Source organism: Homo sapiens, chromosome 21 (genome assembly GCF_000001405.40).
Source record: "Homo sapiens chromosome 21, GRCh38.p14 Primary Assembly".
NCBI classification, from domain to species: domain Eukaryota; kingdom Metazoa; phylum Chordata; class Mammalia; order Primates; family Hominidae; genus Homo; species Homo sapiens.
In genome coordinates, this window is record NC_000021.9 from 44,327,510 (window position 1) to 44,348,346 (window position 20,837).

Consider the following 20,837-nt stretch of genomic DNA (forward strand, 5'->3'; position numbering starts at 1 on the left):
ACAGGTGCTCTCCAGGACTCCCTGGGGGCCACCAGGGTGACCTGAGCCCCTCCTGGTCCTCCCCTGGGGGCAGAAGGGTACAGCCTCACTCCTCTGTCTCCCCAACCTCAGCCTGAGTGGGGGTCTCCAACCTGCAGGCTGGTGGCTGGCTTGAGCCAGTATCCAGGAGACATTGATGGTGGACACGCAAGAGGGGAAAAGAAGGCAGCGCAGAGCTGCGCCCACCAGGGGCTAGGGCTGAGTCCTGCAGGCGGCTACGGGGTGGTGGACGCCCTGCTTGCAGGATGCCTGTTAACCTCAGCGTCGAAGCCTGCGCTCTGCATCATGAACGTGGGAGGTGCTTGCCCAAGAGGGCTGCTTCCTGCCCGCAGTGCCACCCTGGGGATGTGGTTTTGGGACACAGGAGGTGTCTCAAGGGAGACCCTGGCTTGGAGGGGCCTAAGGGCCACTTTGAGGGCCCCTGGGCAGTCTCCTGGTTGAGCTCAGGCCAGTGGGGTGGCCTAGGGACCTGGTGAAGGGGCTGGGGACCCTCTTGCCCTCGGGCACCTTGATATTCCCAAGAGCCCCTCACTGTGTTGGCCCTAGTGCCGGAGGCCTCCAGATTGCTTAACTCGAGCTGGGGTGGAGGGGCCCACACCTAGTGGCCTTCTAGTTCATTCTGAGCTGGGCCATCCTGGGGCCAGGCCCAGGAGTGGACAGTTGTCCAAGGACAGTGCTCCGGGGTCTGCAGCTCTGTCTCAAAGGAAGAGAGAAACAGGTTCATAGGCCCAGGGAACCACACAGGCATGCTCTGGGGGCCTCCGTTGTGTCACACCGTCTGGGATCAGGACTCAGTTCTGAGTAGACCCCCTCGGCCTGCCCTGCCTGATGAGGTGTTAGAACCTGTTCAGCTGCCACTCAGCTGCTGCACCCAGGTGGTCGCCTGTGGCTGATGCCCGGGACAGTGGCTGCCTCCCTCCTGGGCGACGTGGTGTGGCGAGCGCCTGCGTCAGGCCCACTTCTGGCTGCGTGGAGTTGGCGTTTCTGGCATTTCGGGCAGAGTGACGCGACCTCCTGGGCCCTTGGTCCTCTCCTGTGAACTGGGTGAATGGGACAGAGTGTGATGCCAGTGCTGCTCGGCTTGAGAACCCATTTTTGGGGTGACTTGGGGAGGAGTGGAGTGGGACTGTGGGGTGCCCCGGGCTGGACGTGCTTCTGGCTGTCCTCCATGGCTGGGTGCATTGGGTGAGGAGGTGCCGGGAGGGGAACAGGCAGGAGGCGGCAATGGTGGGGACGGGGTAGGGGGAACCGTGGGGCTGAAGGCAGGCAGCTGCCCCCACAGGTCCCACCCAAGGTGTGCATGATGTGGGGCAGGAGGGCGCTGGTGTAAGCCCCGCATGTCCACGGCAGCCCATGTCGGGGGAAGTGGAAGGGACTCAATTTAAAACGACCTCAACCATTCCAACAAAGCGCTTTACTGAGGGCACCCACTCCACAGTCCCAAGGAGGCAGACACAGGCCTGAACTGTCCACCCTCTATGTCCCGAGTGGTGACTCCACTCCCCACTGCTCAGAGATCACACCCCTTCTGGAGAGCTTGCATCCCTTCTGGAGAGCTTGCACGGATGAGTGACTGTCTTCACCCTGGGCTTCCCCAAGTCCGGCGACAGTGGCTGCCCCAGTGCTGCAGCTGGCTCTGGTGACGGTGGCACGGCATGGCCCCGAGCTTGGGAGAACAGCGGCCTGCACACACGGTCACGCATCACCGCTCGGCGGAGGATGGGAATATCTCATGGAGATCTGGATCTCAACCCCACATGGGACAAGGGCCCAGGGACCTGGCTTTCCTACACACCAGCTGGAAGGCTGACTCCCCATCTCACGTGAATGCTTCCTTGGTTTTGGGGGGCACTAGGAAGGTCCCCAGGGCCACGGGTCACTGCCCAGATTGTGGCATCCTCATAAGACTTGCGACTCTTCCCAGAGGAAAGAAAACCCCTCTCAGATGCTCCAAGGACTCCCCTAGTCTAGCTGCTTCCTGTGCCAGGCCCGGACCCCAGGGCGAACAGGCCTGTTCATCCACAACCTCACAGCTGAGGGCCCTCCTGCAGTTCTTCACAGGAGAGAGAAAGGAAGGCGCACCTGCCCAGCCCGGCCAAGAAAACAAAACTCTCTCCCATGGGTGCGGGAGGCTGCTGCCTGCCTGCTGAGCAGCTCAGGGCAGATGTCGCTATGGGTGCCAGCATTCTCGAAGTCTCCCTTGCCCAACAGAAATCTATCCAAGGACCAAGGGCTGGAATCGGCAAAGCCATCCGTGAAGACCTCCTCATTCTGTGGAGAAACGGCCCTTGCTTTCAGGAAGACTGTCACAACCATGCCTTGGGAAACGTCACCTCCAGATCAACCTTGGGAAAATCTTTTATTAGGGAGGACAGCCTGCAAAATCCTCCCTTTAAGAGCCCAGGCCAGCCTAGAACCTCCAGACCACAGAAGGGGAGTCCTGGGGACAGGACTGGTGTAGACAGGCATCTCCACCGCCCCGGTTAGCCAGTACCTAACACCCACTCCTGCCCTCGGCCGATGTGGCAAACCGGGGAGGCTTTTGTGTGGGGCCGGGGCTGCGGCCATGGCAGCCACCCTCCAGCTCCCGGGGGCTGGGGAAGACGCTGGGGTCCCCGTGGAGGCTGGAGCGGCGTTCAGGTCCTGCGGTCACTCGGCGTGCTCCTGCACCTCTTCCCCACGCAGGGCCTGCAGCCGGCTGCCCACAGTCTGCTGCACGGCCTCCAGCCCCTCTGCATCCAGCTCCCGCAGCAGCAGCAGGATGGCAGTCAGGACGTTCTGAGGGCAGAGGGGTGCGGACTAAGCCCACCCGGCACGGCGAGGCTGCTTCCCTCCACAAGGGCTGGGGCCTGGCCAGCGGTGCCCCACCACGGAGCGACTGGTCCCGGGGGTGTGGGCCGTCCAAGTGACTGACCGGCACACTCGGAGAATCTGAGCAGAGGAGCCCCGCCTGTGGACGCGTGTGTGGCACCTCTTCCACGTGACTCCTGTTGCCCTCAGCCCAGCAGGGCCCGGGCCCACATTCCACAGACCAGGACAGCAGGAGAGGCTGAGGGGCCAGGACGGCTCCGTGCGGGGCACGTGTTACACGTGTGTGCGCATTCACAGACCCGCACACGCAGCTCCCCCTGGGGCACAGCTCTTCAAGGCCCTGTGAGGCTCCATGCTCCCTCCCCACGGGGCCCTGTGAGGCTCCATGCTCCCTCCCCACGGTTTCTGTGCAGTGGGTGCAGTGGGCAGAGGCAGCCGCGGCCCCTAGCGGCCCGCCACTCACCCTGCCCCTGTGGCTGCTCGAGGCATCCCTGGCTGAGAGGGAAGGAAACTGGCCCCGGGAAGGCGGCTTCAGGCCACGTTCATCCTGGGCGCCGCTGCTGAGAGGGAGACAAAGGCGTGTGAGGGTCAGGGGGCTCGTGGCACCGGGGGGGCCTCTGCAAACCCTGTCTGCGGGTCGCATCCAAGCAAAGGAGGGGCTCATACAAATCCCACCTGGCACACGGGGGCAAGAGAAGGGAGGCAACTCCTGGGAGGTCAGGGGCTACAGATGGCAGCTCCTGGAGAGCCCGGCACTTACTTCACCTGTGGGGCGCCCTCCCGGCACCCTGGGGCTCCCCAGCTGTAACACCTTCCACCCAGGGCTTCAGGGGCAGGGTGGGGGGCACCCGAACACACAAATGCCGGGGGAGAGCTCCTGACCATGGGGTCAGGCCCTGTGCCGGATGGCAGATGCCTAACAGAGATCACATCCCGATGCCCCCACCACAGGCACCAGCAGCGGGTGTGATCTGCCAAGCAGGAGAGAAGTGCCCAGCTTCTGTCAAATGCGTTCGTGACCCGCTGCCAACTGCCCTGGGAGGCGCCGGCGTCTCACTGCAGAGTCAGCCCTGTGGCCCCTCCACGGCCCCCAGGCCCAAGGCCATACGGGCACTGATGGCCGTGCCCACAAACCATTCCAGTCACTGTGGCCCTAGGCCACCCCCCCCACCAGGGGCTCCCTGCACCTCACGAGCTCTGGTGCTGTGAGCCTTCTCTGTGCCAGGGCACGGGGCCTGGCTCACCCCCTCTCCTGCTCCCTGGCACATCCGCTGTTGGGCAAAACATGGACCTGCCACTGAAATCACTACCTGGGCACTGAGTCACTCCCAGAGAATATGGATGAGAACAGACACTCCCCCCGGATAATCCCTGTCCCTCACTTCCCAGAGACGCAGCTCACGGGAAGCCCCATTCACTCCCCGTGGGAGGACCCTGGGGGACAGGGATGGGCTGCGGAGTCCCCGCTGCCCTCCAGCCTCACGTTGCCTCCTCCTCGCTGTCCAGCGGGTCCCGGCCAGTCTCAGCAGCGGAGCTGAGGGAGCTCAGTGTGCAGCATAGCTTGGGGCCGCCGTGGCCTGTGCCCTCTCTCTCTGGGGCCGCAGTGATCTCCTCTCCCTCACTCAGTGCACGGGACAGCTCCTCCTCCGTCACAGCTTTGGGATGAAAGACAGAAGACAGCATGAGTGGCCTCACCCACGTGCAGGCCACATGCACTGCAGCTCCCGTCCTCACTGTGGCTTCAGGCACAGTCTGCTTGTGAAATGCATGCACGTGTATCCACCTCCAGGGACAACTCCCAGAGTAGCAGCCGGTTCCTCACTGTCCCATCCCCAGCCTGGCACAGGCTGACACACAACAGATGGTGGAGGGCTGCTCAGGAATCTCAACACCAGCCTTGGCCAGAAGCAAATACTCCTCAAAACCTCAACTAAGACACAATAGAAAAAGGAACAGACCATATTGAATTTATTCCATTTCTCTCATATATCAATTTCCCTGAAGTTTATATTATTAATATCAATAAAATTGTCTGGGAGAAAATAGTGGTGTCTGTATACCTGACAAGGATGAGACACTAGTGTGCTGAGAATGCCAAGGATGAACAAACAGCATGAAACCACAGCCTGGAAAACTGTGTCGGTGCTGGCGCTGGCTAGAGGAGGCACGAGTGCCTCCAATAGGTGGAGCGCAGCAGCAGGCACTGCGGTGCTGGGACGGCCCCTCCCCACGGCAGGGGCGCGATGGCACCGCCACCCTAGGTTCACAGTGGCCCGTGGAGCCTGCCCAGTCCCTGTGGACCAGTGCGATGCTGCTTGCCAGATACTGACGCCCCCGCTCGCCATGGCGCATGGCGATGGTCAGAGCAGGGCTGCTACTCACAGAAGCAAAAGAAGGAACCCTTTTGCTTTGCTACCAGGTCCTGCGGTCGTTGGGGGATACCCAAACTGTCAGTCCCAGGAGGGACCCTACGCTGCGCTGCTGCATTCGGGTGGCGGGATCAAGAGGAGACACAGAAGCCAGGGGAACAGCCTCTGGAGGAGACTTCACAGGACACATCTATGTCCCGCCAGACCAGGTATTTGCAGAAAAGGAGAAGAGAAAAGAGGGCTGGGGACATCCCCTTCCAGGGATTGTTTTGGGAGGGCCGGTGACTCCGCTGCGGCCACCTACCCTGGTTGTCCAGCTTCTGTAGGCGCGGCAGGGTGCGCAGCACGGTCATGCGGTAGCGGTGGGGGCTGGTGCCGCAGCACGGGTTCTCGGCCAGCCACAGCACCCGCAGACGCGGCAGCCCCTTCAGGTAGAAGAGCTCAGCCAGGCTGGGGATGCGGTTCCTCCGCAGGTACAGCTCACTCAGGCGCTGGCACCGGCTCACAGGCTCCAGGGTGGAGATGCTGTTGACACTGCACGGAGACCAGCACAGTCAGCGAGGGACGTGGCCAGGGCCCCCAGGGCCACCTCTCAATCCCCACCCCCAGTAAAAGGCACTCATGGGACCTGTGTCCCTGCCCTCTCCTGAGAAGCCTAAATCGGATGTCACAAGTCACGTGCAGCAGGACCTGGGCCGAGGAGAGAGCTGTAGGAAGGCCAGGCCCTGAACTCAAAGGCGGACTGGGGTGGACCCCACCAGCAACAGCCCCTTGGCCCGACGCTCCACATCAGCTCCTCAGGGCGCTAGAGTGCGGGAGGTGGGGGATGTGGCCCTCCTTCACAGGTGAGGAAAATTAAGGCCTCTCAGGGGACATATCATGTTGCCCCAAAGCAGGGAGCGGCCAGAAAAACTCATGGCAAAAACTAGGAGCCAGCTCCACGTGACATGGGAGTGAGCACGGACCTTCCAAACCCCCACTTGAGGGCGGCAACACTGGGGATGGGCCTCATTTCCATTCTACAGAACGTGGACGCGTCAGAGAAGAGAAACAGCAGGCCTGGAGCGGGGACCTGCAGGCTTTACCCTGCAGCGTGGGGTCCGTCCCCTCCACAAGCGAACACGCGGAGCCGCTCCCGCAGGCCCTCAAAGGCGCGGAGCCAGGGCCCCCTGCCTGGAGGGCTGCACTCGCGTCCGGCAGGCGCCTCAGAAGGGCGGTCACCAGGCCCCCATGGGCAGCCTGCCGTCCTGAGCCCCCCTCCCCATGCCATCCCTTCACTCGGGGTTTCCCAGGTCTCATGCAGCTCCTAGCTATGAGGCCGCCCCATTTTACCAAGAGCAAAACTCCGGCTGTGGGACTCTTTCCAGGATGGGGTCTGCCTCAGGCACAGGCAGCAGCGTGATGTACCGACCGCGTCCGCGGCCTCGAGGCTTCCTGCTCCGCTCCAGTGCAGTCAGGCGTGCAGGCACCACGCACCTGAGCTCGGTCAACACCCCTGGGGTCCTGTCCCTCCCGAGATGTGACAGAAATGGCCCCACACACGAGCGGCCTGATGCTCGGAGGCCCTGTGGCCCCTGGGTGACTCAGTGAGCGGCAGGGATAGGGCTGGATCCACAGCCCCGCCCCAAGCTTCCTGCCACCGTGGGAACCACAAGCTCCACGTTTCCCTGTCAGGTAAGCCTTTCGGAGGCAGGCCTGAAATCCCAGCCTCACTGTGTCGCCTGACTAGTGAAACGAGCCCCGCGGCAGGCACGCGCACCCCCCCTCAACCTCTGGGCGGGCACGCGCACCCCCCCCCCCCCCCCGCTCAACCTCTGGGCGGGCACGCGCACCCCTGCTCAACCTCTGGACTCGGGCTCCATCTCCTCCTCATCTCCCTGTGGGGTGGGCACTTGTAATACCTCCATGTTACAGAAAGGAAACTGAGGCACAGAGAGGGCCATGCCTCGCCCAAGGTTAGCCAGCCAATAGATGGGAGGGCTGAGATTTGACCCATGAGCATGCCTCCAAGCCCATTTCATTCATTCAGCAAGGCTCGGGCAGGACAGGCTGGTGCCCGCGCTGGGGATGCCTGAACACCAGATGGACTGGCCTCAGCCCATGGCGGGCAGCAGGCTGGGCACGGGCATCAACATGGCAATGCCAACCTCAGAGGGCATTACGGAGGATGGGCAGGGGCTGGCCTACCCCGTGGCTGCCTGTGAGATCAAGAAGGTAGGTCACAGTCAGGGACCAGGGGCCTGCAATACCCACTCTCAGAGGGCAAGCCCTAGAGACTTCTGAGCTGCCAGAGGGGTGGGCCTTCCCCACAGGGTTTAAACCCTTGTGAGCTTTTAAATGCGGAAACCCACAGAAGGCGCCCATCCAGCGTCTGGTGGGCAGTGGTGAGCCATGAGCGTCTGCTCCCTCCGTGGGTCCCACAGTAGGCAGGAGGGAATTCAGGGATAAAGGGAGCTCTTCTCTTCCCCAGAGCCCCCAAATACACCCCAACTGCCTGAAAGTCCAGTAACATTTGTTCATTCAAGCTTCCCTTAGTCTGCTGGGAGGGCAGTGACCCCAGAAGACGGGCACAGGTCATGGGGTGCAGAGAAACTGGTAGGCAGTGGTGGCACTGGGGGGCAGAAGAGGCCAGGACTCTGGGGGTCCCAGGGCAGATGTGGCCACCGTGGGGGCGGCCAGGGCGGGCCACCGTGAATCCTTAGGAGGGCTCCACCACCGACTGGCCCAGTGAACACAGCAATGGCTTATCGGAGCACACAGGCCAAGGGTGGGCAGGCGTACAGCAGGGCAGGCAGGGGACAGGAGCCATCAGGAGGCCCAGGTGAGGCTCTGAGGAAGGAGGGCTGAACATGGGGGCCACAGGGTAGGCCCAGCTCTCGCTGTCCCGGCCCCTCCCCTTCTGGAAGCCGCCCTCAGTCTGTGTTGGAGGTTTCCAGGTTATGTCACAGTGCTGGGTCCCACTGGAGGGACGTGAGGCTCTGCCCCGGCTTCCAGGCCCCAGGCTGAGCATGACAGCAGGAGCGAGGTACCTGAGCGTGATCACCTCCAGGCTGGGCATCTCCTGGCAAATGGAGATCTAGGAGGAAAAGAACATGACTAGCAAGCATGGCACAGCAGGGCATCGCGGCCGCACTGCCATCAGCCACAGAGAACTGTCGAAGCCACGGCCAACCCACTTCCGGGGCCTGAGGGGCACGGCCTTACTCAGCCAGTGTGCCCAGGGTGAATGCCCAGGGCCTGAGGGGAGCGGCCCTGCTCAGCCAGTGTGCCCAGGGTGAATGCCCAGGGCCTGAGGGGAGCGGCCCTGCTCAGCCAGTGTGCCCAGGGTGAATGCCCAGGGCCTGAGGGGAGCGGCCCTGCTCAGCCAGTGTGCCCAGGGTGAATGCCCAGGGCCTGAGGGGAGCGGCCCTGCTCAGCCAGTGTGCCCAGGATGAATGCCCACGAGTATGCCAGGTTCTCCTCTGACACCACCTTGCAGCCCAGACGCCCCGCAGACTGAAGGAGAAATGTGAGGCTCCTCCTTGCACGCACTCTGTCTTTATTAAATTTTACGACAGCATCGTTGCTGTCAGATGCTGCCAGCAGTGGAGACAGAGCATTCATTACTTTAGATGCCCTCAAAGGACATCAGGTAAGGGGACCCCAATGTCCCCTACGCAGGGATAGAAAGCAAGGAAAGGATGGAAATCCCTTCTTGATAACAGGTCTAGGCCAAAAGGAAGACAGGCTTGAGACTGGATCTCAGATCACATTGGTACTGTCAATTCAGGGGTGAGGTGCCCGGGGTGGTCCACAAAGCCTCACAACCTGCAAAGCTCCCACATATGTGAGAGCCCACCATACGCCAGGCATGGCACCAGCAGCTCACAGCCTGGTCAGATGCGTCCCATGTATAAGTGACTCGTGTCTATGGACATGGTACGTTTGTATATTCACTGCTAAACATGCAGTATTTCAGTTACAGCACAAAACAGATTACACCCAGATGCCACGTATCCAGGCTTTTTTTTGTCTTTAAGAAAAGGTACAGTTCAAATTAAAAAAACAAAGGAAAATAAAGAGATAAATAATTGCGCTGGACATGGTGGCTCATACCTGTAATTCCAATACTTTGCGAGGCTGAGGCAGGTGGATCACCTGAACTCAGGGGGTTTGAGACCAGCCTGGCCGACACAGTGAAACTCCATCTCTACTAAAAAGTACAAAAATTAGCCAGGCATGGTGGTGGGTGCCTGTAGTCCCAGCTACTCAAAGGCTGAGGCAGGAAAATTGCTTGAACCCGGGAGGCAGAGGTTGCAGTGAGCCAAGATCGTGCCACTGTACTCCAGCCTGGGCAACAGAGAGAGACTCCGTGTAAAAAAAAAAAAAAAAGAAAGAAACAATTGGTATGCGATCCCTGTGTAAGTTGGGGACATTTTGGACTGAGAAAGACAATGAGGGAGAGAAGAAAAAAATCTTTCACAGACGCACACACTCAAGTTCTCCCAGCAGGGCTTATTCTCTGCCTGCCTTTGGGGCAGCGGCAAGGGGGTACAAGGCTAGATGTGACCAAGAAGAGGGGGTGTAGACCTTCAACTTCCCCGTAACAAAGTAAAACAAGCCCTCCTGGGATTCCTTTCCAGGTGAGAGCAAGTTCCAAACTATTGCTCCCCTCCTCTGCGACCAAGTGACAAAGGGTGTTTCATTTATAGGGATGTTGACGGGAACTGCAAAATAAGCCTGGCACTAGAGAATTGTTTTTCCATTAGTGGTTCTGCAGAATGAAAACCGCTAAGTGAACAAAGTACCAAGTGTGGGACTGAATTGATAGGTGCAGTTTTGTCAACTTAAAAATTCTCTTGGGAAAGAAGCTACAACATTTGGGTTGAGGCTATTTGGAGATGATCAGTGCAATACTTACATCTGTGAGGCAATACTTACATCTGTGAGGCGGCTGCCCCTGGGGAGAGAAAAGATACATACTTTAATTTTGTTAAAGTTGAATAAAAAACACTGAAGACAAAAATTCCAAAAATCACCGATGACTCCCTACAAACCTTAAGATTCTAGGATTTTAATGGCATGGCAAAAAAGGAAGGTTGCCCAGATAACTGGCAAAGGTGTAAACAATTGTTTTAGCTGATTTTCAACTAAACTGTATGTTTGACGTTGGGGTGGTACTTTTTAGATAAGGAGCAGCAGGGTTGCTCCATTTGTAAGACACAAAAAGATGAACTCTTCCTCATGGTCCCTGAGTAGCAGAAGGTTCATTTCTCTCACTGACAGACATAAACAAGGGCGTCTTTATAAGAGGTCAAGTTCAAAGGGTGAACAGGCAACTTATGAAGCAAACTTTAAAAGCCTGAAACAGGGTTGTTGTTTCTCCCAGCTTAGTGGGAGTACTGACCACCCCATGCAAAACAAAGAAATGCATTATTGAAAGCAAATGACACGGGAATTGTAGCCAAAACACCAGATATGCCAGGGCAGAGAGAAAAGCTTTTTAATTAACAGGGAAGAGCTCACTCTGGGCAGTCTGCGGACACCCCTGGGAGGAAGCGTCTGCTCTCGCTGACCCCCACACCCGCCTGCACGGTGAGGCCAGTTGACACGGCGCGGTCACTCTGCTGAGTCCCCAGGGAACCCTGGAGATCTTGCAGGCCTCAACTCCAGGCTCCCTCTTCTGGAAGCTCCTGGTCTTCCTTGGCTCAGTGAGACTCAGCATTACCTGCCTTTCAGCCTGCCTGGGTCCCACCGCACCCACGTCCCTTCCTGTCACCTGCTAGGAGTACCCTGGGAACGGCCGCCCCCAGTACTGATTACCAACGTGTTTCCTGACTCAGTCCTGGAAAGCTCAGTTCTCTCTCCTATTCGACTTGGTCCCAGTGACTGCTGGCAACCCCAGACAACAGACCCAGCCCACAGGGCACCCGGGGCAAAGGCGGGCCGGGAAATGGGGGGGGGCCCAGGCGACCCCGACCCCCGGCCTCCTCCCCTCCCTCACCCGCGGCTCCTTCGCCGCCCTCGCCCCTGCCCCTCCCCCCTTCCACTCCGCCCCCGCCCCGCCCCGCCCCGGCTCCTCCCTCCGGCTCCGCCCTCGTCCCGCCCCGGCTCCTCCCTCCGGCTCCGCCCTCGTCCCGCCCCGGCTCCTCCCTCCGGCTCCGCCCTCGTCCCGCCCCGGCTCCTCCCTCCGGCTCCGCCCTCTCCCCGCCCCGGCTCCGCCCTCTCCCCGCCCCGGCTCCGCCCTCTCCCCGCCCCGGCTCCTCCCTCCGGCTCCGCCCTCGTCCCGCCCCGGCTCCTCCCTCCGGCTCCGCCCTCTCCCCGCCCCGGCTCCTCCCTCCGGCTCCGCCCTCGCCCCGCCCCGGCTCCTCCCCCCACCCCGGGGCGGCCGCGGCCAGGCCCCGCCTCACCAGCAGTTGAGCTTGCGCACGCTGTGCAGCTCCGAGGCCTTGGCCCGGGTCAGAACCATCTTCCGCGTCAGCTTCATGGCGGCCGCCCAGGCCCGACCGGCGGGCGCCCCCGGCCTCCTGATCCCGGGCGGGTGACGACTGCGCGGCGCGTGTCTCCAGGGGCGGGGCCCGCGTCGTCAGGGGCGGATCCTGAGCCGATTGGCGGCTCGGTGAGGAGAGCGGGGCGACGCGAGCCCGCTGGGGCCGCTTGGGCGCCGCTGACACGTTGGCTCTGCTCCTGCTCATGCGCGGCCTGGGGCGCCCTTCTCTGACGCGATTCTAACGCGACCCCGGAAGCGCGCAGCGAGCAGAGGGTGGGTGCAGGTGGCGGTCCCCGAGTCGGCCCAGTGAGGGCTGAACTGCTGCTCCCAGGAACCGAGCGGGGTGGGCTCGGTCCGACGCGCATCATGGCCGAGTGCCTAGGCCTGACTCTGAGCGCAGGCCTAGCGTGGATGGCATGGGCGCTACACAGCTCCAAGTTACGCGATTCAAACTCTTGGAATAAACCCAGGGCAGCCCTGGGGCTGTGTTGATTCCTTGTCTCCCTCCCTCCCAGCATTTACAGAAAAGACGCATTTATAGGAAAGACGCACGGGCAGGTCCAGCAGAGCCCTTACAAGCATTTCAACCTTTTAGAAATCAGATAAGACCCTCTAAACATCGTTACATGGGCCACAGTTACATTAAGACAGGCGTTCTGACGTTCTGAAACCGCCTTTGCAAAAAATTGTATCGGTGAGAGAAGGTTGGCCTTGAAGGAGATCTGGCCAACCCCCATCTTGCCTTTGGCCTTAAAACTGCCCTTAATTATTCCTGGATAAGCAAAGGTAACTTTGGGAGACATTTATAGTTTAAGTGATAGCAGCCCTTCCTCAAAACTAAACAGCCTTTGTAAAGCTAATGAGACCACTGAAACCGCCTTTGCAAAAATCATAACTGAAGAAATTATGACAGGGGAAGATCTCCTCACCCACCCCATCTTCCTGCTATCCTCTAAGCTGCTTTTGTTCATTCCTGGGTGTAGACCAGACTAGCCTTGGGAAGGAATTTAGTTTATAGATTAAACTGAAACAAAATTGATAATAGCCCTTTCCCAAAAAAACCCTTCTTGCCTGGGGACCAGTCTGCCTTTGTAGGACTAACAAATTAAGCTACGAGATTAAAAATTACAGTTTAGGGGCCATGCAACCTCTGGCGGCAAGAGTCTGAACCTCCCCAAATTGCTTCTGGGAATAACATCACTGTTGCAAAACTTAAGGTCAGTGCTTGAAATATTTTGTAGACCCTGCATTCAGATGCAGCAGATGACACCACCCAAACGGATAATCTGGCTCAACCATGTGTGTGATCCCACCCAGGGACAGAAGTCAGCCAGAACTCATTTTGACCCCCTATGATTTAATCTTCGACCTGACCAATCAGCACTCACCACTTTCTGAGCCCATACCCGCCAAATTATCCTTAAAAACACGGATCCCCGAATGCTTGGGGAGACTGATTTGAGTGATAATAAAACTCTGCTCTCCTGCACAGCCAGCTCTGTGTGTATTACTCTTTCTCCATTGCAATTCCGTTGCCTTGATAAATCGGTTCTGTCTAGGCAGTGGGCAAGGCGAACCCATTGGGCGGTTACACTACCAGCCTAGAAGGATAGAGGAGCATGAATTCCACTAAGATGCAGATGTAAACATTCGTCAGCCATTATTCTGGAGGTCACAAGATAAGCTACTTCCCCAATTACTCCTGCAGGTAACATCACTATTGTACCTTTGCAGGTTTCTTGCATGTCTCACACGGATGGATCCAGCTAAATGTCTTGCCAACAGCTCCTGTGGCCCCACCCAGAAGCCATGCAGCACAAAAGGACCAAAAGGACAGCTAGATTTCATCTCGCACCTAACCAATCAGCACTCCCCATGCCCTAGCCCCCTGTTCACCAAACTACCTTTGAACAACCCCTAACCCATGAGCCTTCAATTGTAACCGAGCAGCTTAGCAGCTGTGAATCCAAAATATCTGAGACAGGACTCAATCTGTTTAGAAAGTTTATTTTGTCAAGGTTAAGGACAAGCCCATGACACAGCCTCAGGAGGTCCTGATGACATGTGCCCTGGGTGGCTGGGGCACAGCTTGCTTTCATACATTTTTAGGGAGACATGAGACATCAATCAATATGTGTAAGATGGAAAAAGAAGAAAAAATATATGTATAAGATGTACATTAAGCCGGGCGCGGTGGCTCACGCCTATAATCCCAGTACTTTGGGAGGCTGAGGCAGGTGGATGGCCTGAGGTCAGGAGTTCGAGACCAGCCTGGCCAACATAGTGAAACCCTGTCTCTACTAAAAATACAAAAAATTAGCTGGGCGCGGTGGTGGGTTTCACTCGTGTCCATGTGAAGAGACCACCAAACAGGCTTTGTGTGAGCAATCAAGCTGTTTATTTCACCTGGGTGCAGGTGGGCTGAGTCTGAAAAGAGAGTCAGTGAAGGGAGATAAGGGTGGGGCCGTTTTATAGGATTTGGGTAGATAAAGGAAAATTATAGTCAAAGGGGGGTTGTTCTCTGGCGGGCAGAGTGGGAGTCACAAGGTGCTCAGTAGGGGAGCTTTTGAGCCAGGATGAGCCAGGAGAAGGAATTTCACAAGACAATGTTATCAGTTAAGGCAGGAACAGGCCATTTTCACTTCTTTTATGGTGGAATGTCATCAGTTAAGGCGAGAACCAGCCATCTGGATGTGTACGTGCAGGTCACAGGGGACATGGTGGCTTAGCTTGGGCTCAGAGGCCTGACAGTGGGCGCCTGTAATCCCAACTACTTTGGAGGCTGAGGCAGGAGAATCGCTTGAACCCGGGAGGCAGAGGTTGCAGTGAGCCGAGACTGTGCCATTGCACTCCAGTCTGCGCAACAAGAGCGAGACTCCGTCTTAAAAAAAAAAAAAAGATGTACATTAGTTCAGTCTGGAAAGGCAGGACACCTTGAAGGCCGGGTGGGGTTGTGGGGGTGGAGGGAGGCTTCCAGCTTCCAGGTCATCGGTGGATAAGAGACAAAAGATTGCATTCTTTTGAGTCCTTTCACTGAATACACAATTTGGTCTAGCTTAGTAAATCTGCATTTTTACATAAACAATAAGGCAGAGAAAGCAAACAGATAGGCATGTGTCTCCGGTGAGCAGGGGGATGACCTCCTGTCCCACACCTGTGAAGATCAGCTATCAGTTTACATTCCAGGGTGAAATTCAACAGAACTGTTTGAGGGTAAAGATCTTGAGGCCCACAAGGAATTTCCTTGTGGGCAAATTGTGAGGGAGCTTCATAGCTTTTTATCTTTGTAGCGATCTTATTTAGGAATAAAATTGGAGGCAGGTTTGCCTGATGCATTTTCCAGCTGACTTTTCCCTTGACTTAGTGATTTTAAGGTCTTGAGCTTTATATTCCTTTCACACAGCTAAGCCTCAAACCATGTTTTAAAACTTTTTCCCCTTTCCCCTTTCCTCCTCCTCCACCCTAGTCTGAAGATGTAACTGAGACAAGCTGCTTGTGTTACCTTCCATCTTGAAATACAGCCTGGGAATGTGAACCTCCACTCCGTTCCCATCCTGTGCTCTCAGGCCTTATGCACATTTAGTTTACCTGGATGCCTGTTAAGCACACACCATGCTCACTTATCTGGTCATCTCTTTGCTTGGAAGCTTCAGGGGTCAGCTCCTGAAAGGGACCGGACACCTCATTCTGTCTCCAACAAGATTACTTCAAGGCCAGAACTCACTCTCGGCCTTGAAGTAATTGAGGACTAAACTCTGATTTTTCTTTTTTTATCTTGCCCAAATTCCTAAAGGGCATGGACAGTCATGCCCTACAAACCATAAATTCTCATCAGATGGGTTTTATTTAACCTTCTATATCGTGGTGTTGACAAAAAGAGTCAAACTCTGTAAAATATTTTAAGAGATTTATTCTGAGCCAGATATGAATGACCATGGCCCGTGACGCAGCCCTCAGGAAATCCTGAGAACATGTGTCCAAGGTGGTCGGGGCACAGCTTGGTTTTTTACTTTTTAGGAAGGCATGAGACAGCAATCTAATACATTTAAGAAATACGTTGGTTTGATTCAGAAAGGCGGGACAACTCAAAGTGGGGGCTTCCAGGCTATCGGTGAATTTAAACATTTTCTGGTTGACGGTTGAGTTTGTCTAAAGACCTGGGATCCATAGAAAGGAAATGCTCAGGTTCAGATAAAAGACTGTGGAGACCGCTGGGCACGGGGGCTCACGCCTGTAATCCCAGCACTTTGGGAGGCCGAGGCGGGCGGATCGCGAGGTCAGGAGATCGAGACCATCCTGGCTAACACGGTGAAACCCTGTCTCTACTAAAAATACAAAAAACAAACAAAAAAATTAGCTGGGCATGGGGGCGGGCGCCTGTAGTCCTAGCTACTCGGGAGGCTGAGGCAGGAGAATGGTGTGAGCCCGGGAGGCGGAGCTTGCAGTGAGCCGAGATTGCGCCACTGCACAGAAAAAAAGAAAAAAAAAGACTGTGGGGACCAAGGTTCTTTTGAAGTCTTTAATGGCTGCCCTTAGAGACAATCGATGACGAATGTTTCCTATTCACACCTTTAAAAGGTGCTAGACTCTCAGTTAATCTCGTCAGGATTGGGAGGGCCTGGAAGAAAAAGATCAAGCTATGTGAATAGAGATTCCTTCCAGATGCACATTTTCTCCCACAAAGGACGGCTTTGCAGGAGCGTCTCAAAATATGGCAGGAAACATGTTTCGGGGTAAAATATTTTGATTTTATTCCTTGTCATGTTATGCCAGAGTCAGATTGGAAAGTAAGTTATGACATATAGGGTTAAATAAAACCCGTCTGATGAGAATTTATGGTTTGTAGGGCATGACTCTCCATATCCCTTAGATAGGAATATAGGCAAGAAAAAAAATCAGAGCTGGCCAGGCGTGGTGACTCACACCTGTAATCCCAGCACTTTGGGAGGCCAAGACGGGCAGATCACGAGGTCAGGAGATTGAGACCATCCTGGCTAACATGGTGAAACCCCGTCTCTACTAAAAATACAAAAAATTACCTGGGCGTGGTGGTGGGCACCTGTAGTCCCAGCTACTTGGGAGGCTGAGGCAGGAGAATGGCGTGAACCTGGAGGGCGGAGCTTGGCAGTGAGCCGAGATCGCGCCACTGCACTCCAGCCTGGGCCACAGAGCGAGAATCCACCTCAAAAAAAAAAAAAAAAAAAATCAGAGCTTAGTCCTCAGGTTGGTGTAAGATGTGGGATGACAGAAAAGTCTCAGAGCAGTGCCTTCTGAGCTCTTCTACACCAAGCAGGCAGAATGTTCACTGCTAATGAGTCTGGAGCTGGTCCCCAGCAGTGGTAGGAAGCTTCCAACAGGCTCAGGCTGTGGGTGCTTGCAGGGGCACAGTGTGACGGCCACGGGCCTCAGAGCTCTGGTGGGCTCACGAAGGCTCCACTGGACCTACGTCACAGCCTTGGCCCCCTGCCCAGCCCTGGGCCTCCCTTCTTACAGGGGGTGAGTTAGGCACGCTGCTCCCCAGTAAATCTCAGGGGGCTACACACAGAGCCTGCTTCCCAGAGACACGCAGAGTGGGGGACACAGGAGCTTCCTGTCGAGTCTTTGAAGCAAGGCCACCACCGCCATCACCAGGCACACAGGGCCGACACCCGCTTTGTGGTTTCAGCCAGTGGGTCGGGGTTTCTGGCTTGCAGCTAGGGATACTGCTGAGGACAAGGTACCATGGATCAACCGCTGCTCCCTCCTGCCCTGACAGCTGGGAGCTCTGCAGGGCTCAGCAGGGCAGGCTCACCCCCAACTCATGCAAACGCTATCCTGATGACACCTGCTGCTGAGTCCCATGCGCCCCAGGCCCCGTCCTTGTCTCTTCTTTCCTCCACCACCTTCGCCCCATAGGTGACACCCCCAGTCCAGACCCCCTCCAGGCCGATACCCTAGTCACCTGCATTGCATAACAAATCACCCCCAGACTTAGCAGCTCACAATAGACATCGCTGTCTCCCGGTTTCTGAGGCTCAGGCATCTGGAGCAGCTGAGCTGCATGGCTGGGCTCAGCCTCCTGGGAGGGAAAGGGGGGCCGTCTCTGAGGACCTGGCTGAGGTCTCCTAGCTGCCCCACAAGCTGTCGGTGGGAGGCTTCGCTCCCTGCAACATGGCCTCTCACAACATGGCCTCCCAAGGAGTGAGGGATGAGGGGGGCAGGGAGAGGGGGAGAGGAGGAGAGGGAGACAAATGGAGAGTCAGCAAACATGTTCCGGAGCTGAAGTTTTCATGATCTCGGAGTGACCACCTCTCCCCTGCCCATGTTGCTGGCCTCGCCACCCACCTGGTACGACTCAGGGGCAGAACCTGGTCCACCCTGGAGGCTCTGGGCTCCACACCACATCCCTGAGGCAAACTTTGGAACTCCTCGGGTGGCAGGTGCAGCACACCCCTCCCAGATGCCCTTGGGAACTCGAATCTTCTCCCTTGGTCTCAGGAGCCAGTGCGGTGGGTAGCCTGCCTGACCCCCTGCTGACCGAGGACCTCCCCACCGGCTGGTGCTGCAGATGGTTCAGATTCCTGTGGCAGGTCAGAGCCAGGCCTGGGAGAAGGGACAGGCAGCACGTGTTGATTTACATTTTTTCAGTGTCCTGAGAGGTCTTCAGGCCTCGTGGTCATTTCCAGCTCCGTTCTCGTAATTGCCATTCTGGGAGCCATTGGCGCAAGGGCACCTGGCACAGAGAGTTTACAGTGGCCACGCTGGCTGCAGTCTTTACCCTGGCGTGGCATCCATCGCTGTCCTTTCACATTTTAAGAACAGTTCTGCTGTATATTTCCAGAATGCAGATGACTCTGTGGACTCCAGAGATGAAAAGAAACATGTCTGTTCCCTCAGCCTGAAGCCCTGCTCTAGACCAGGTGTCGGCAAACTGCAGCCCACTGGCTAGATTGGGCCCGCCATCTGTTTGCAAATAAAGGTTTTTCTTTCTTTCTTTCTTTCTTTTTGAGATGGAGTCTCACTCTGTCACCCAGGCTGGAGTGCAAGGGCCTGATCTTGGGTCACTGCAACCTCCCCATCCTGGGTTTAAGTGATTCTCCTGCCTCAGGCTCCTGAGTAGGTGGGACTATAGGTGTCAGGCCTCTGAGCCCAAGCTAAACCATCATATCCCCTGTGACCTGCACGTATACATCCAGATGGTCGGAAGTAACTGAAGAATCACAAAAGAAGTGAAAATGGCCTTAACTGATGACATTACCTTGATTCCTGCCTTAACTGATGACATTACCTTGTGAAATTCCTTCTCCTGGCTCAGAAGCTCCCCCACTGAGCATCTTGTGACCCCCACCCCTGCCCGCAAGAGAACAACCCCCTTTGACTGTAATTTTCCACAACCTACCCAAATCCTATAAAACAGCCCCACCCCTATCTCCCTTTGCTGACTCTCTTTTCGGACTCAGCCCACCTGCACCCAGGTGAAATAAACAGCCCTGTTGCTCACTCAAAGCCTGTTTGATGGTCTCTTCACACGGACACACGTGACAATAGGCATGCACCACCATGTTCGGCTAATTTTTTGTATTTTATTAGAGACAGGGTTTCACCATTTTGGCCAGGCTGATTTCAAACTCCTGGCCTCAACTAATCTGCCCGCCTCAGCCTCCCAAAGTGCTGGGATTACAGACGTGAGCCACCGTGCCCAGTCCGCAAAGTTTAATTAATATTAGTGCCCAGCTATACTGTATTTGTTCATTCTTGCATTGCTATTAAAAAACCCCTCAGATTGGGTAATTTATAAGGAAAGAGGCCTAACTGGCTTACGGTCCTGCAGGCTGTACAGGAGGCATGGTGGCTTCTGCTTCTGGGGAGGCTTCAGAAGCTTCCGATCATGATAGAAGGCAAAGCGGGCAGGTGTCTCACATGGCAGGAGTAAGAGAGAGAGACAGGGGCAGGTGCCACACACTTAAACGACCAGATCTTGCAAGAACTTACTCACTATTACGGGAACAGCACCAAGAGGATGGTGTTCAATCATTCATGAGAAATGCCTCCTTGATCCAATAACCTTCCACACTGTGGATTACAATTTTTTTGAGACAGAGTCTCGCTCTGTTGCCCAGGCTGGAGTTCAGTGGCACGATCTCGGTTCACAGCAACCTCTGTCTCCTGGGTTCAAGTGATTCTCCTACCTCAGCCTCCGAGTAGCTGGGATTACAGGCGCACACCACCACGCCTGGCTAATTTTTGTATTTTTAGTAGAGATGGGGTTTCACCATTGGACAAGGCTGGTCTTGAACTCCTGACCTCAAGTGATCTGCCTGCCTCGGCCTCCCAAAGTGCTGGGATTACAGGTGTGAGCCACTGTGCCTGGCCTGGGGATTACAATTTGACATGACATTTGGGTGGGGCACAGAGCCAATCCACGTAACATACTGATTCATTTATGTAGTTGATCCTCGAACCACTCAAGAGTTGGGGGCTTCAACACCCCTTAAAGTTGAAAATCTGTGCATAACTTTTGACTCCTCCAAAACTTAACTATGAGTAGCTCACTATTGACCAGAAGGAAGGCTTACTGATAGCATCAACACATATTTTGTATGTTGTATTATAAACTGTATTCCTACAATAAAGGGAACTAGAGAGAAGAAAATGTTATTAAGAAAATCATAACGAAGATAAAATATATTTACATTAAGTAGAAGCAGGTCATCATAAAGGCCTTGCCGTCTTCCTGTGAGTAGGAGAAGGGGGAGGAGGAGGGGGTGGTCTAGCATCTCAGGGGTGGCAGAGGCGGAAGAAAATCTGCATAGAAGTGGATCCCCGCAGCTGAAACCCGTGTCGTTCAGGGTCAGCCGAATGGCCCACGGCTGCCTTCCCACTGCAAGGGCAGAGGCGAGGAGCTGGGACAGAGACCACGTGGCCGGCAAAGCCTGCCACAGCGACCATGCGGCCCTGTGCAGAGAGTTTGCTGCTCCTGCTCTAGCTGGGACCTCCCTCCTTCCTGGAGTGTCCTCTGAGGAGCCCGCCGCCTGTCACCTGCTCCCGCGCCTCACTCAGGACCAGAGTGTGCCAGTGCCTGCGGCCCTGTCACTGCCTTTTTCTCCAGTTGTGGTTTCCTCCTGCTGCCAGAGCAGGGCCCTTTTTACCTGGGCCTCGTGCCCACACCG

At 56.3% G+C, this 20,837-nt stretch overlaps 1 protein-coding gene across 13 annotated transcripts, besides 11 other annotated features; it reads right to left on the bottom strand.

The window, feature by feature from the left end:
• Window positions 757-1,051: a silencer, noted in NCBI's record as "tiled region #3786; K562 Repressive non-DNase unmatched - State 18:Pol2". NCBI's record gives its function as "represses a minimal TATA promoter and a strong SV40 promoter by Sharpr-MPRA in K562 cells {active_cell/tissue: K562}" and the evidence as "EXISTENCE:reporter gene assay evidence [ECO:0000049][PMID:27701403]".
• On the bottom strand, window positions 1,435-11,881 carry CFAP410 (cilia and flagella associated protein 410). 13 transcript variants are annotated; one of them, NM_001271442.1, is made up of 8 exons: window positions 10,725-10,829; window positions 10,140-10,158; window positions 9,315-9,411; window positions 8,249-8,295; window positions 5,524-5,744; window positions 4,334-4,505; window positions 3,314-3,407; window positions 1,435-2,817 (listed from the first exon to the last, which is right to left on the bottom strand). In NM_001271442.1, exons 4-8 carry the CDS (start codon window positions 8,275-8,277, stop codon window positions 2,689-2,691), a joined length of 645 nt encoding a protein of 214 aa, NP_001258371.1. In that variant the 5' UTR covers window positions 8,278-8,295; window positions 9,315-9,411; window positions 10,140-10,158; window positions 10,725-10,829; the 3' UTR covers window positions 1,435-2,688. The 13 variants fall into 13 exon arrangements, with proteins under 13 accessions (NP_001258371.1, NP_001258369.1, NP_001258370.1 ...); NM_001271440.2 differs by lacking the exons at window positions 9,315-9,411; window positions 10,725-10,829 and adding an exon at window positions 11,609-11,881 and having other exon boundaries at window positions 5,524-5,753; NM_001271441.2 differs by lacking the exons at window positions 9,315-9,411; window positions 10,725-10,829 and adding an exon at window positions 11,609-11,881 and having other exon boundaries at window positions 2,954-3,407; window positions 5,524-5,753.
• Window positions 2,010-2,139: an enhancer, noted in NCBI's record as "active region_18569". NCBI's record gives its function as "activates an Ori minimal core promoter by ATAC-STARR-seq in GM12878 lymphoblastoid cells {active_cell/tissue: GM12878}" and the evidence as "EXISTENCE:reporter gene assay evidence [ECO:0000049][PMID:35858748]".
• Window positions 3,859-4,360: an enhancer, noted in NCBI's record as "H3K4me1 hESC enhancer chr21:45751251-45751752 (GRCh37/hg19 assembly coordinates)". NCBI's record gives its function as "activates a minimal SCP1, AML or CMV promoter by ChIP-STARR-seq in naive H9 embryonic stem cells {active_cell/tissue: H9 hESC(naive)}" and the evidence as "EXISTENCE:reporter gene assay evidence [ECO:0000049][PMID:30033119]".
• Window positions 4,361-4,860: an enhancer, noted in NCBI's record as "H3K4me1 hESC enhancer chr21:45751753-45752252 (GRCh37/hg19 assembly coordinates)". NCBI's record gives its function as "activates a minimal SCP1, AML or CMV promoter by ChIP-STARR-seq in naive H9 embryonic stem cells {active_cell/tissue: H9 hESC(naive)}" and the evidence as "EXISTENCE:reporter gene assay evidence [ECO:0000049][PMID:30033119]".
• Window positions 11,050-11,169: a silencer, noted in NCBI's record as "silent region_13382". NCBI's record gives its function as "represses an Ori minimal core promoter by ATAC-STARR-seq in GM12878 lymphoblastoid cells {active_cell/tissue: GM12878}" and the evidence as "EXISTENCE:reporter gene assay evidence [ECO:0000049][PMID:35858748]".
• Window positions 11,470-11,839: a silencer, noted in NCBI's record as "silent region_13383". NCBI's record gives its function as "represses an Ori minimal core promoter by ATAC-STARR-seq in GM12878 lymphoblastoid cells {active_cell/tissue: GM12878}" and the evidence as "EXISTENCE:reporter gene assay evidence [ECO:0000049][PMID:35858748]".
• Window positions 11,840-12,059: an enhancer, noted in NCBI's record as "active region_18570". NCBI's record gives its function as "activates an Ori minimal core promoter by ATAC-STARR-seq in GM12878 lymphoblastoid cells {active_cell/tissue: GM12878}" and the evidence as "EXISTENCE:reporter gene assay evidence [ECO:0000049][PMID:35858748]".
• Window positions 13,922-14,564: an enhancer, noted in NCBI's record as "NANOG-H3K27ac hESC enhancer chr21:45761314-45761956 (GRCh37/hg19 assembly coordinates)". NCBI's record gives its function as "activates a minimal SCP1, AML or CMV promoter by ChIP-STARR-seq in naive H9 embryonic stem cells {active_cell/tissue: H9 hESC(naive)}" and the evidence as "EXISTENCE:reporter gene assay evidence [ECO:0000049][PMID:30033119]".
• Window positions 14,565-15,208: an enhancer, noted in NCBI's record as "NANOG-H3K27ac hESC enhancer chr21:45761957-45762600 (GRCh37/hg19 assembly coordinates)". NCBI's record gives its function as "activates a minimal SCP1, AML or CMV promoter by ChIP-STARR-seq in naive H9 embryonic stem cells {active_cell/tissue: H9 hESC(naive)}" and the evidence as "EXISTENCE:reporter gene assay evidence [ECO:0000049][PMID:30033119]".
• Window positions 15,951-16,506: an enhancer, noted in NCBI's record as "NANOG hESC enhancer chr21:45763343-45763898 (GRCh37/hg19 assembly coordinates)". NCBI's record gives its function as "activates a minimal SCP1, AML or CMV promoter by ChIP-STARR-seq in naive H9 embryonic stem cells {active_cell/tissue: H9 hESC(naive)}" and the evidence as "EXISTENCE:reporter gene assay evidence [ECO:0000049][PMID:30033119]".
• Window positions 17,629-18,131: an enhancer, noted in NCBI's record as "H3K4me1 hESC enhancer chr21:45765021-45765523 (GRCh37/hg19 assembly coordinates)". NCBI's record gives its function as "activates a minimal SCP1, AML or CMV promoter by ChIP-STARR-seq in naive H9 embryonic stem cells {active_cell/tissue: H9 hESC(naive)}" and the evidence as "EXISTENCE:reporter gene assay evidence [ECO:0000049][PMID:30033119]".

Excerpts from the sequence above, each read along its gene's own strand:
- CFAP410 (XM_047440980.1), bottom strand. The coding sequence starts at position 10,923 with ATGCTGAGTCTCACTGAGCCAAGGAAGACCAGGAGCTTCCAGAAGAGG. Across the intron at positions 3,411-4,333 it reads GACAGCGAGGAGGAGGCAAC|CAGCGGCGCCCAGGATGAAC; the intron begins GTGAGGCTGGAG and ends TCTCCCTCTCAG. Across the intron at positions 2,818-2,953 it reads CAGATTCTCCGAGTGTGCCG|AACGTCCTGACTGCCATCCT; the intron begins GTCAGTCACTTG and ends CTCTGCCCTCAG.